At 37.1% G+C, this 15,054-nt stretch overlaps 1 protein-coding gene across 61 annotated transcripts in view; it reads right to left on the reverse strand.

Annotated features, from left to right (window-relative positions):
• TRIP12 (thyroid hormone receptor interactor 12) overlaps nucleotides 1–15,054 on the reverse strand; it is a 159,350-nt gene that overhangs the window by 66,358 nt on the left and 77,938 nt on the right. For 56 of the 61 annotated variants that reach the window (XM_047446397.1, XM_047446395.1, XM_047446390.1 and 53 more), the window contains 3 exons: nucleotides 10,628–10,733; nucleotides 6,654–6,790; nucleotides 562–645 (listed from right to left, as the gene is read on the reverse strand). In XM_047446397.1, the coding sequence (XP_047302353.1) occupies nucleotides 562–645; nucleotides 6,654–6,790; nucleotides 10,628–10,733 (327 nt within the window). Of the gene's footprint in view, nucleotides 1–561; nucleotides 646–2,050; nucleotides 6,791–10,627; nucleotides 10,734–15,054 lie in introns of those variants that run through there. The other 5 variants (NM_001348335.2, NM_001348336.1, NM_001348334.1 and 2 more) reach the window with 3 other exon arrangements.

The raw sequence follows: 15,054 nt of genomic DNA on the forward strand, positions 1-15,054 counted from the left end.
CTATACATTCATTTTGAAACATGATCAAGAAGACAAAAAACCATGGCCAAACGCCTTATTAAAACCCATTTATGCTGCAGGTTGCAATTTTTTGAATTTTTGCATGAGTGAAAAGTCCGACCTTGGTGATGGCCTTGAGCAGTAGGATATAAATAACTCCCACATTCTTAGTGTTCCAATAATGGAACACTAGGCCTAAGTGGGTTAAATGCATTCATAATGCTACTGGATACCAGACAAAAATATATTAAGGTACCCATTTTTCAAGATTTTTAACTTATTTATTACTGAAACCAGCTACACATGCAACCACAATTTAAAAATTTTAAACAAAAATAAATATGTAAGGCTTCATCTAGTGAAACAGTAAACACGAAGAGGCGGACAGCTCATCTTCCAATTCCAAATCATGAAATTGCTACTAAAAATTTTTTTTTCTTGGAGGTGCAGGCACTGCTAGATTATGGTCAAATGAATTTAACTAAATTAATTTCAATAAAGAATGGTATTAACAGGTAGCTCATGGTAATGGTTTCTTATAGGCTCAATAACTGTTTTTACCTTGCAAACGTCCCATCTCGGAATCATCTGATTCACTCTCCCCAGAGGTGGTCATGCCAACAGCCCCTGCAACAGAACTAGAGGCTTGGGGTGGAGGGGAAAGATGAGGGTTAGGAGGAGCACTTAAACACATTATGTCTGGCTTACCTTAGAAAAACCAAAGTTTTGCGGACTACAATTGAATAAAGGCAATTAAACTTGTCTTGCTACTGTACACTCAGCTGTTCTTCTAGACTTTATCCTGTAGCTTTTAGGAATGAAAGGAGAGCTCAACTATTTTAGTATTAAAAAGGTTGTATTTTTATGCTTGTTTTTCATTTATATGTGGCTTTTGACAAATTTCTTGTGCCGTTGAAACTGTTCTTTAATTAAGATGTCCTGAATCCCTCTTCTGAAAGTCAATAAAGAACATACTGCTGTAACAATTGTGATTATTTAACAGATGGCCAATTAGTAACAAAAATAATAAAAAGGCAAAATAGACATTTGGGGGAAATGTTGTATGTAGACGTCTGCCTTCTAAGTCTGCTTTATTTCCGGACTACAGTCTTGATACAATCATTTATCTGTTTTCATTAACTTCAAGAGTGCAAAAAGATATTACAACTAACAGATGACTGCTATGAAGCATGAAGGAGGTTGGGCATGGTGGCTCACTCCTGTAATACCAACACTTTGCGGACCATGGCAGAAGGATCATTTAAGCTCAGGGGTTCAAGACCAACCCGGGCAATATAGTGAGACTTGTAGTCCCAGCTACTGAGTTGGGCATGCCTGAGTCGAGAGCACTGCTTGGGCCCAGGAGGTAGAGGCTGCAGTGTGCCGTGATCGTGCCACTGCACTCCAGCCTGAGCGGCAGGGCCAGACTCTGTCTCAAAACAAAAACAAGAAGTATGAAAGACAGGGCAACTAAAGTGTCAAAACTAGTGTGAAATGAAGAGTTAAGACTCAGGATACTATTAATCGAAATACTAACCTGACCAACAATGACAAAAAAACAGTCTAAGCTAATGGAGGTAGAGTCTATTATAAATCTGAACAGGAAGTAAAACCATATTCCTGCAAAACTAGCAGTTAATTGTGCCTCTATGTGTCTGCTGAGGTCAAAGGTTTTTTTTGTTTGTTTTTTGGGTTTTTTTTTTTTTTTAACACAGATGATTGATCTACATAAGCTCTTCCACAATACCTTAAGCCCTATATACTGCACAGATTGTGACAGAATGCAAGCCAGGAAGAATATTTTTGTCATAATTGTTAAAGAGGCATGTGTGAATAACATATGCGAGTTTAAAGAGCTTGTCTGAAGAAAAAGATGCCAAAATACCAGCCACTGACTGTATTTTCATATTACCATTCTCTTCACACACCATTAAGTATTTTCTATGTAACTTCATTATTGGGATTAAAAAAAAAATTCTTAGAAAAGCTTATGGTTTAAAACAGGGTCAGCAAAATATGGCCCAAAGGCCAAATCCAGTCCACCACATGGTTTTGTAAATAAAAATTTTATTAGAACATAGCTGTACTCATTCATTTACAAGTCTGTGGCCGCTTTCACGCTATAATTACAGAATTGAGTACTTGCAACAGAGACTACATAAAGCATAAAACATTTACTATCTGGCCTTTTACAAAAGTGTTGGTAACTCCCCCACCACTCTGAAAAGTTTAGAGCCATAGAGAGACAGATTAACCAGAAATACTGAAGTTGTATAAAGGCTGGGCAAAACCCACACTTCTGGTAAAGAAAAAGGAAATTAACCAATAACTACACACTATAATGCTACTTACAGGTAGGCAGCATTTATGAAAACGCTTACCATACAACACAGGCATTGTCTAAGTTTCCTCATAACTGTACAAAAGGTATTATAATCATCATGCACATAAGGAAACTAAGGTTTTGTGACTTTGAGCATACTTGGCCAAGGTCAGATAGCTAGTTATGGCTGAGAGATCTGAACTCAGGAAGTCTGACTTCACAGGTTGTACCCTTAGAAACTGTATGACTCAAATATATTCTTTAGCAGTGATTTTTAATTCAAATACAGTTGCTTCTTCACATTATACAGAAATGCTGTTAACGAATACTGTTACTAGGTACAATAATAACTGAAATGGCTCTTAAACTTATCTTAAGACTATTCCATCTATGTAGGAAGCAAATACCGAGTTTTAACAAATGAAATAGTGGGTATTTTTTAAAACACACTCTGGAGCCCATACATTAAAAAACAAACACACAGAAATCTAACCTGTTAGAGTACTGCTGGGTTTTTAAGTTTATTTATCAGAGAATCTACTTGATTTTACTTTAAAATGTTCTCCAGACCTACAACCATTAAAGGTTTCTACCTAACATTACTTCTTAAATATTTTATTCTAACGACTTTCATAATGAATATCTCAAACTGCACTGCCACAAAGACATCAATTAATCAAAACATAAAACCTATAGAAGAACATAATTAAAAGAGATGCTAAGGTTCTATTATAGCAGGGTCCCAACCTTTGGGGAGCCACAGAATCTTTTTTATTTTTATTTTTTTGAGACAGGGTCTTGCTCTCTTGCCCAAGCTGAAGTGCAATGGTGCAATTTACAGCTCACTGCAACTTCCGCCTCCAGGGCTCAAGCGATCCTCCTGCCTCCGCCTCCTGAGTAGCTGGTACCACAGGTACATGCCACCAAGTCTGGCTAAGTTTTGTATTTTTTTGTAGAGACAGGGTTTCACCATGTTGCCCAGGCTGATCTCAGACTCCTGAACTCAAGTGATCCACCTGCCTCGGCCTCTGAATGTTGGAGTTACAGGTGTGAGCTACTGCCAGAAGTCTGATTATCAGTAGAGGGTAGGGTGCTGGTTTTGACAGAAATTGGAAACTAATTGTGAAGAAAAGGATTCTTTTGCCATACCTCTGATAGCAAGTATTAAGCTTTTGTTCCCTTTTATGAAGTAGTTTAGGTTATCTAAAGTGGGAGTTTAGATATGAGTTATGAGTTATCTAATTTTGTAAAACATATATAAAAACTATTTTTGTATATGTTTTACAAAATTAGTTTGGTTTTACCAAAACAAAACAAAAAAAAAACAAAAAAACTACTAGTTTTGTATGTTTTACAAAATTAGAAGACTTAAACCAGCCAAGCCTCTGGCTAATTTAAGTAGTAGTATAGAGATAGCTGTTCTGTAAGGTCATGCAGATACGAAAATGTAATTAATCAACAGCAGTCAGCTACAGTTCTTTCGTCAAGGCTTCAAACCTCCTTAGGCATAGGCCAGATTTGTTCCCAGAGTCAAATATAAAAATGTGACTATCAGTAGATAAAATCCAATGCCAGATTTTCAACAGATATTTCCCGTTTAGTCTTAGCCTATCTTCACAGTACTGTGTAAGACAGTTTCCAATACACACAAGTGAAAATACTGGAGAGATGTTGTCTAAATCAGAATGCAAACATTCTACATGGAGTGACAAATTTTTATACTTTAACCAATTGATGCAAAGTTAACAAAATTGGACCACTTTCTTTATGTGATCTAACCCTGATCATTTCTTCCGAAACTATAAAGCTACCCAATGCAAAATGAAGCTGACATTATTTTACAAGCATAAAGAAAAATAGTTCATTCCTTACTTTAGTACCACTAGCATTTGCAAGACTTTATCAACACTATAAAGGTCTGTACAGTTCTGATTATGTCCAAATCTACGAATGCATAGCAGACCAGGTGCAGAGGCTCACGCCTGTAATCCCAGCACTTTGGGAGGCCAAGGTGGGCAGATCACTTGAGGTCAGGAGTTGGACAGCAGCCCGGCCAACATGGTGAAACCCCTTCTGTACTAAAAATACAAAAATTAGCCGGCTGTGGTGTCAGGCACTTGTAGTCCCAACTACTTAGGAGGCTGAGGCAAGAGAATCACTTGAACCCAGGAGGCAGAGGCTGCAGTGAGCTGAGATTGCAACACAGCACTCCAACCTGGGCAACAGAGAGAAACTTTTCCTCAAAGAAGAAAAAAAAAAAGAATGCACAGGAGTCTGCCTCTGACTCGTGGGAAAGCGTGGCAAACACTACACTTTCAACTTCAAAGGCTAGCATTTCTTACATGAAGAGCTAATGTGGTTGGGCTTTTTAAAATAATAACAACATTATTTCCAAATAAATGTTTCCAATGGAGTCTTATATCGACTATACAAGTACTATCCGAAAACGTTTACTTGTCAAAAAGAGCTCTAAGTCCACAAACCTATACACCATACTAATTTAGGTATTTTCTTCTACATTCCCATTTTACACATGCAGAAACTAAAGCACATTATCATGAAGAACTTAACGTAAAGCTGCTAAATAATTAGCTTATTTCCCCATAAATACTTTCATGAGTCAGCAGAGAAATTCCTATAATTCATAAGAGATCTATCCTCCAAAATGTAATGAAGTCAGTTTTCTAATACAAGTGCACATGCCACATGTATTTTTTATCACCAGCTACAATACACAGCTTGGGAAACACCTGTACCACACTGTAATTTGAAACATAAATGACAGTGTAATGCCTGGAACTGTTTAGAAAGGCAGTCGGATGAGCCTGATTCCTGTATGCTTTTATCCTCTTAGGTAAATAAATAGGGGAACAAAATTTTGAACCCCGTTCCCATTCCAGCCTTCAATTATATATTCGTATAAATTATATAAACTCTTGTAACTGCATTAGACAACAATGCTGTTACAAATATGCCTGGCTTTGGGAAGTCACACATCACAGCTTGTAACCCTGAGCAAGCATAAGCAATGTTTGTCTCCGTTTTTCCTCACTTAAAAAATGGTAATAATAACACTCATACCTCAGCAGGTTGTTTGGAATATTAAATAAGAATATATGTAAAGTGCTTAATACTATGGCTGGACTGCAATGTAGTGTACACTGTATATTAGTTATAATAATTACTGTAGTGAGTCTACATTAATAGCCTGCAGCTCCTTTTCTGTTACCCATTTGGGAATTGCCCCATTTCCACATTCAGGCTTCAAATAAACATTAGAAGACTGGGAAGGAGCGTACAGCACTGGGACAGACTGTGAGTCACAACCAGTTTTAATGAGTTGCAATTAAATGGACTTTCCAAATATCTACCATTTAAACCTTCAAAAAACTATTCTAGGAAAACAAATATGGGAAAAAACTCCTCTCCCACCATATAATTTATCATATAAAACTAAGAAAGTGTAGTGCTTAAAAGAAAAAAATCCTAAGCTAGAAAAAACAAGAAGACATCAATAGCGGGTAAACCACAACCTTCCTGGCAAACTATGACATATGATCAACCACAGACATTAAAGAAAATGACAACGTATCCTAATAGTAAACAATAGTATCTGAAATATCTTTATTCAAAAGGAAGTATATGCCTGTATCTAAACCTGTGTGTATCATCTGATTTAAGGGACTCATACATATAAGCCTATAGTGATTGATTTTAACATTTTTTTATCAGTTGTTCATGTCATTGAGAAATGTCAACAGAAACTACATTTTGATATCCATCAGCCAGAATTAATAGTTGAAGTATTAGCCTTGTTTTGGTACAGGTAATGGGTACATTATTTAAAGCTGAGAGAAAAGCCTTAATTTTGTGCTTCTAATATATCAAGAATAAAAATGAGAAGCCCATAACAATATAAATACTATTCTTACAGCTAAGGTTCAAACTGAATACTTGTATTTTAGGGCTTACAAAAATTCTAAATTAAAATTTATATATGTGTGAAGCAATTTAAACTATATCCTTACATTTTTACTATGAATTTAAATTCTTTCAATCAATGGGCAATTATACACACTAGTCAATATATAAAAAGCTTAAACAGAGTTTGCTTCTTCCTAAAAGCCTTTTGAATGTAATTAGAGCAAATTTGGATGAGAATTTTAAAATGGCAACCAAATCCAACTAATCAAAATATCAAACTGGTAAAGTAAAACAAAACAGAACAAGAAGTTTATACGATAGTAACACCTAGCATACTTCCCTCCCTCTGCCCATCAAATCTGTAAAAGACAGAAACGCATTTTAAAGCTAAGAAGTACCAATCTACCTGCAGCTCCTTGGGGAGCTTCATCTGTCCGAGCAGCTGAAGAATTTACTGCCTCCTGGTTGCTTTCAGGGTCTGCCATTTTCTCCTGTCGACGAGCTTCAGCTGCTCCTCTTTTGCCCAGGCCAGAGCCTCGCCGACTACAACAGAAAAATGTCATCATGGGCAGCATTACCAGTGAACCAGGAGCAATGTATACACAACACAAAGCTCAAATTCATGGAGCACAAAGCCAGTTTCTTCTTCGTCCTCTTTTTAAATAAAAGTAAGTGCACAAAATCACCATGTATAACAACCAAGACTTTGTATATTTAAAATTCTTCCAAGTTATATTGCATTTACAATACAAGCTTTTGTTACTGTGAGCTGTTGTCATCCTCAGAAACAGAAACGATTTTTAAAACACTTCCAACTAAAAAGAAAAGTGACTCTTTCTGCAGAGAAAATTCAATTCGTTTAAAATAGAGCATCACTTCCAGGGTAAATAGTGGATTAATATATTAATGCTGGCTGGGTACGGTAGCTCATGCCTGTAACCCCAGCACTTTGGGAGGCTGAGGCAGGTGGATCACCTGAGCTCAGGAGTTCAAGACCAGCCTGACCAACATGATGAAACCCTGTCTCTACTAAAAATACAAAAATTAGCCAGGTGTGGTGGCATGCGCCTGTAATCCCAGCTACTTGGGAGGCCAAGACAAAAAATTGCTCGAACCCGGGAGGCGGAGGTTGCAGTGAGCCGAGATCATGCCACTGCACTCCATCTTGGGCGGCAGCAACAACAAAAAAATTATACAAAAGAACTGCAGATTAACATTGAGAATGCGAGGAAGGGAGGAGGAGGAGATGGAAAAAAATTTCCCAGCCCGTGTTCCAGATTACCTAAATCATATAAAAATAACTATCCTAATAATGAATAACTCCATTCTTTAAATTATGGATTTAATATTATTAATAAATACAGATAACATTTGGGAAAGATATTCATCTAGGACAGAGACACAGAATAAATTATGGAAAAAGAATGACCACTTATTTCTCCTATAGAAAATTACATTTTATTGATAATAAACCTTTTTTTCTCCTTCAACAGCGAAATCAGTAAGCAAACCAGGGAGAAGCAAAAATACTTCCCCCAAAATTATTCAAACTTGATAGCATTTAAACAAAAGCTCCCCAAATTATCTCAAGAAAGGCAGAAACCTGTTACTAAAGACATGTTTTAGACTAAAGTCACACTACAGTAAAGTGAGAGAAGCAGGCACAACTGACCTACAAAGGAAGGCTCTGGCTTACCTGAGAGCACTGGAAGAGTTTATTCTCATTACAGAAAAAGCTTCCCTACACAGAAATTTGCTTAACTAATCTTTCCTTCACAAGGAAACAGCTCATTCCCAACCCATTTTACAAAGGTACAAATTAGTGGGATTCAAATTCACTCATTTAAGATCTAATCTCCACCAACACACTGGGCTGACCACTTTGGATACATAGGGCTGCTGCCCTCAAGGAGTGCTACTCTAAAGAGAAACAAGGACACCCTTAGTAGGTGACCAAGGCACTGTATATAAGCAGAATCTCAACTAATTCAGAAAAGATTTGCCATGAAGAGCACTTCAAGCAGGTGGCTAGATTAGACGGCCTGCGCACAGCATGATCATGCCTCAGTGGGTAATTTCGCACGTGCTAATTATCGTTGAGTAGAAGGAGAGACGGTTGCAGAGAACAGCAGGGCAAGCAAGACAATTACAACACTAGATTACCTGACTTCGCATATGGCTTAAAATTAATTTTCAGACACAATAAATCCAGTTTGCATCTCAGACTAAACCTTGAGTAATTAAGATTCAAAATTTGGCCCAAAATAGGACAAAAACTCTGGAAAACTAAGAAGTTTCTTCAGAAATCCTCAGAAAAGTTGCTATGCAACCTCAAAAGCAAACAGGTGTACTAAATCCAGATATTTTAAACAATCTAAAAAATTTAAAAACAGGTTGAAAAGATTTAAGGTGGCAAAGCTATATTTCTTATGACTTATAGGCACCAAGTTGTACTGTTTACTTATGTCGCTATTGTAACACCGCCAAGAGTAGAGATAAGAACCAAAAGAAGTGGAAAGACCTTTCTGCTAACCTGAGTGGGAAAACGTAAGCTAAAATCATTCCCCCCTGCATTACTAGTGTTGATGCATTTACTAGAGGGAACAAGCTACAGTCATGTGCTGCATAATGTTGTTTCTGTCAAGGACGAACCACGTATATGACCGTGGTCCTGCAAGATTATTAATACCCTATTTTTACTGTACCTTTTCTATGTTTAGATATGTTTAGATGCATAAATGCTTGCCATGGTGTTACAACTGTCTACAGTATTCTGTAAGGTAACGTGTTTTACAGGTTTGTGGCTAGGAGCAACAGGCTACCACACGGCCTAGATGTGTAGTAAGCTATACTATCTAGGTTTGTTTTAAGTGTTCTCCATGATGTTTGCATGGCAAAATCACCTAATGACACATATCTCAGAACGTGTCCTCCTCATTAAAAGTGGCATGACTGGCCGGGCACGGTGGCTCACGCTTGTAATCCCAGCACTTTGGGAGGCCGAGGCAGGTGGATCACGAGGTCAGGAGACCGAGACCATCCCGGTTAACATGGTGAAAACCCATCTCTACTAAAAATACAAAAAAAATTAGCTGGGCATGGTGGCGGGCGCCTATAGTCCCAGCTACTCGGGAGGCCGAGGCAGGAGAATGGCGTGAACCCGGGAGGCAGAGTTTGCAGTGAGCCGAGATTGTGCCATTGCACTCCAGCCTGGGCGACAGAGTGAGACTCCATCTCAAAAAAAAAAAAAAGAAAAAAGTGGCATGACTTACACAAAGACGGAGAACTCATATATAGCTACTGAATAATTAGCAGCGGAATGGCACCTGACTAACCGACCAAGCCTGAAAAGCCGAGAGGAAGTTGCAGGAGATTTTTACCTTTAGGCTAAGATTCTCAATCAGTTAATAAAAGTATATGAAATATTAACTGTATCACATCAAAGATAGTTGTTTTGAAAGTGAGATCTACAGCAACTAGAATCTAGAATTGGAGATGGGAGAGAACACACATAATAACTACACCTTTTCTTGAGCGAAAGGTGTTATAAAAATTAAGTACATTTCCCCCTCCATTCATTAAACTTAGCAACTAGTTCTAACACTTTTAGAAACCAACTGGGCAACAGTACAGCCATTAAAACAGGCATCCTTTTTGATTCATTAATCACACTATTGGGAAATTTAACTACCTTTTAAAAACAACCCAAATCTGCATAAAGATGCTCATTAGAAGTATATTTGGCAGACGAGAACTCTGTAAACAGTCAAAGGTCCTGCTACTGTCAACAGTATTGTGAAAATAGCGTTAACAACAAAGGAAAAGTAGAAGATAAAAGTATCGTCAAGAAATAGAATGATTAGAACTTAGTAGAAACATGTAAATAAATATTGCGGAGAAATTCACAAAGATAATACCAGTTATGTTAGAATATGTCTTTACTCAAGTAAAAAAAAATTTAAATAATTTTTTAAAAATCATCGGGCACGGTGGCTCACGCCTGTAATCCCAGCACTGTGAGAGGCTGAGGAGGGTGGATCACTTGAGGTTGGGAGTTGGAGACCAGCCTGGCCAACATGGTGAAACCGCATCTCTACTAAAAATAAAAAAATTAGCTGGGTGGGGTGGCAGGCACCTGTAATCCCAGCTACTAGGGAGGCTAAGGCAGGAGAACCACCTGAACCCGGGAGGCGCAGGTTGCAGTGAGCCAAGATCGCGCCACTGCACTCCAGCCTGGGTGACAAGAGCAAGACTCCGTCAAAAAACAAAACAAAACAAACAAAACAAAAAACAACCTATGGAGTTAAGTATTTTGATGAAAGTTGAAATTGAGCAACAGAATAAAAATGAACTCACTATAAAAAAAAAAAAACAAATTACCTGGTACTAGCACAGGAGCCCGTGGTCTTTTGGCGTGTGCTCCGCCTCAAACTGGGGAGCTCAGCAGGTGGAGACTCACTGCGTTTCTTCGTAGATTTTCTTAAACCTATCCACAGAAAATGGAAAAGTGTAATTTTATAATGAGAAATTATCACTAATTAAAAATTATAAAATTCTTCAGGTCATCATGTTCAAAACTTCACAGAATATTTTTATAACCTCTCCAGCAGTATTACTAGCTTTATTTCCACAGCCTATTCATAATGAAAAAGCTAATGGTACTTGGCACTCCAGTTCAGGATCGGTCTTCTCACTTGGGCCCAACCTTGACCCAAGCTATCCCCAAAGTCCTGCCTATCTCTCCTCTTTCAAAGTTCTTTTCTCTCCTGCTCCTCTTCTCCACTAACAAAGGCGAGTTTTTTTGTATATACCATTTATTTCAAGAATTTACTAAACGTCATTAAGTTTATCAACTTTGTTACACTGTTCTTATATTGTCCCATTTCAGTTAGTTTATATAAGGCTCATCAATAAGGTATGAGAGAATAAAATGAGTTATACCACCCATCAGAAAGGTACATGCACTTGGACTGAAGGTTATTAGGAAGACTGATTTATAAAATACTGGATAATTAGGGGGGAGACTCAATTAAGCACAGTTTACATGTTATTCTGGAAGCTAACTAATGCCTTTACAGGTCAATAGGCTCGAAAATGGTGTATCAATTAAGTAAAGTTTATTACTATTTTATGAACAATAAGAAAGCCAAGACAGCATCCACCCTTGCCCAACCCTCACAGTGTTACCACAAATGACATACTAGGCAGTATACTCAATCTAAACAAAGACCTCCAACAGTGAAAGGTCTCCAAAGTTACCAATCATATTTCCATGAGAACTCAGCATCATCTTAAACAGCTGTTAACTTTTTCAGAGACTAATTAATTATACAATTGGTCCTGGTCACTTACTTCTTTTCAGGAAGTTTTAATTTTGCTGATTTCATTGCTTTAAAGGGGAAAAACAATTCTTTACTCCTTTGTGGAAAAGCAGCAGTAAAAGAACTGGGAGAGAAACAGTAAAAAGGATTCTAGACATTTTCTTGATCTTTTAGACTCAAATTAAAACTTCAGTTCATTCAACTTGGGATGGTCTTTACAGCAGACTTAAAAGGAGAGTTGCTAAGTGAAAAATCAACTTATTCAAGAATCTGCAAACATGAAACAGAAGCTATAAAGATAAAAATCTATGTTTAGACAGGCATTACTTTTTAGACATCTAAACTATATCTTTTGGGCCTTTTTCAAAATAACTTTCGTGAAAGATTATCTAAACAGGTGAAGCTGACATAAAAGAATCAAAGAATGAAACTTTAATTGGGAAAAGATGATTGGCTTAAGAGTTTCTTAAATTTCAATCTTATTTTTAGGTTGATTTTCTACATAGCATACTGCCAGAATTACCTGATATAATCATATGCCTAATATCCTATGCTGTCTTTGTCAGGGCACACAATCTGGTCACCTAAGAGACAGGGCATGGCAATAGATCTAGGGAGCTAGCTTGGTAATACATTTGGCTAATTAGCATCACATTTAATATTTTAAAAATTCATAAATTATTTTAAAATAGTATTTCAGAAAGTATTCAATTTTACACTTGCTTTTCTATTGGATTTGTGTGACTAAGTTAAAGTAGACTTACGAATGTACAGTTTAGAGAGAAAAAAATGCAAATTTACATTATATTAAAACACACCAAAAAACAGTGTTTTTGCTTATAACAAAGCACTTAAAAAAAACCCTGTATTCTTGTCATTAGTATTACACAGTACTTCATTCATGAATACTAAAATATCTTTATACATACCATGATACAGTAATAGACAGTAGCACACACTTTTGCATCTATTTAGTGACATTAAAAATAAATTATTCAAATTAATGTACTGTGGGCTACACTGCTGATTTGAAGTGATGACATATTTTTTAATCAAACTTTATTTTACTCTTTCACTATTCATGTCCTAAAACAGACTTCACTGTTTCTTTTACACTGTCTTCAACTATAACTTAAATGTGATAATAATATACTTATTGTGAGTGGTTCAGAGTTTGACAAATGTATTTACCCATATAACCAGCATCACCATTAAGACACAAACATTTCCATTACTCTAAAAAGATCCTTCCTGATCCCTTGTAGGTAATTCTCTCTTATTCTCTCTTTCTCTCTCTCTCTCCCCCACTCCTTCCCTCCCTCCCTCCTTCTCTCTCTCCCTCCCTCTCTCCCCACCCCCCTTTCCCAGGCTCTGTAATGCAGCAAAACTACATTTATCATTTACCTTTATGATGCCACTCAACCAGAATGTCACTGGTTAGATTAATATACTCTTACCCCAAAGGTTTTGTGTCATGAAGTTAGGTATAAATGTAGATGTACTCTTTTCCTCAAAATTCTTGACCTTATTATATTGGTATAAGTATATATGCCCTTGTTACTATAATCTTTAAACCTCTGGATAAAGATGAAACTGGCAGTTAGTATGGTCTGCCTAAAAATCCTAATTGTTCTGTTCTCCAATACAGACGTATCTATAAAACAAACAAACAAACAAAAACAGGCTGAGCATGGTGGCTCATGCCTGTAATCCCAGCACTTTGGGAGGCCAAGGCCTGAGGATCATTTGAGTCCTGAGAGTCTGAGACCAGCCTGGGCAACGCAGATCTTGTCCTCACAAGAAAACCAAACCAAAACAACAAACAAAAAACACAGGCTGGATATAGTGGCTCATGCCTGAAATCCCAGCAATTTGGGAGGCTGAGGCTGGAGGAATGGGTGAGCCCAGGAGTTTGAGACCAGCATCAACAACACTGTAAGACCCTGTGTCTCCACAAAAAATAAATAAATAAAAATAAATTAGCTGGGCATGGTGATGCATGTCTATAGTCCCAGCTACTTAGGAAGCTGACGCGGGAGGATCCCTTAAGCCCAGGAGTCCAAGGCCATAGATTACACTACTGCACTCCAGCCTGGATGACAGAGCAAGACCTTGCGAAAAGAAAAGGAAGAAAAGGAAGGGAGGGGAGAAGAAAGGGAGGAAAATAAAGAAAAAAAAGAACATGTATTCCTAATTAAAAAAAAAAACTGATTTATTCAAAGTTCAAGGTTTCAGTCTTTCAAAACAGCGGCAATTTGCAAGGTTTGGCTTTCGAAATGTGATATAATTAAAACTGTATGTATCCAGTTGCAAGCTTTGAATTTTTAAAACAACATTGTAAGAGAATCAGATTGAGGAGTGACAATGACCTTAGATATTTTACTTACTCTTATGTAAGAATAGTTAAGATGCTTTGGGGTACTTCCTGCTTACATGATTTACTTTCCTTGTCTACTTGAAATTTTATAAATTTTAAAATGTACTTCTCATTACATTAGACTATTATTTAATGATTCCAATCTCATCATTTTGCAGGAGAAATGAGCTCAAGGAGAAATGTCTGCCTACTTAAAAGGAGTCACCAAAGGTAGGTCACTACCAATACTGGAATGGCTTTTACTCTTAGTTATGTTATGTTAATTAAAAACTAGAAATAGACAACTGAATAATAAATCTTCGCTGTCCTGTTTTTATGCTATCTTCCATTCTTACATGATCTATGTTAAAGGCATGTTAATCTTTCATATGGTAATCTGAGATACACATCAGACCTATTACACAGTCCCACAATCAAAATATAGTCTCCCCCACCATGATAAAGTATTCTAGCAATGAAATAAGTAAACTTTCCAGCTTCTTCAAGATTCCTTCTGTTACACAAGAAGTCAAAGCAAACATCAATGTCAATGTATTTGATAAGACTCTATAAAAATCGGGCAGGGACGAAGAGGTGAGGGAAGTGGATTTAAGATCTTCATTCCATAAGTAATTATTCCACTCAAATAATTACTGTTATCTTCCAACTTACACATGCATTTTCAAGTGACTTTAGATGATCAAGTACACACACCTATTTTTAATGTACAGAAACCCTTTTTCTGAGTGCACTGCTTATTTATTTTTAAAGTTCTCTGGAGAGCTATCTCCTACCTCTTCTCCACGTGGTACCATTGGAAATGTCTTCTCCAACACATTTCTACTATTACACAAGAGGGTCAAACACCAATCCTCACCATCATCACCCTTTTTTCTCCTCCACCATACTGATTCATTCAAGGACAGGTATATAACCCAAGGAAATCAGGGACTTCCTTAAATGTTGATATATAAATGAGTAGATATTATCCTCTTTTATTGTAAAGGGAGAGTCTGAGGGAGGTCACAAGATGTGAGATTGCAAGTGCTATCTTCATTTGACCTCTGGATCCAGCCAAGCCTGAAGCTAGGCATTCTCTTGGCTTTACCACCCATCATGTGAACTGATTT

This window comes from Homo sapiens, chromosome 2 (genome assembly GCF_000001405.40).
Source record: "Homo sapiens chromosome 2, GRCh38.p14 Primary Assembly".
Lineage (NCBI taxonomy): Eukaryota > Metazoa > Chordata > Mammalia > Primates > Hominidae > Homo > Homo sapiens.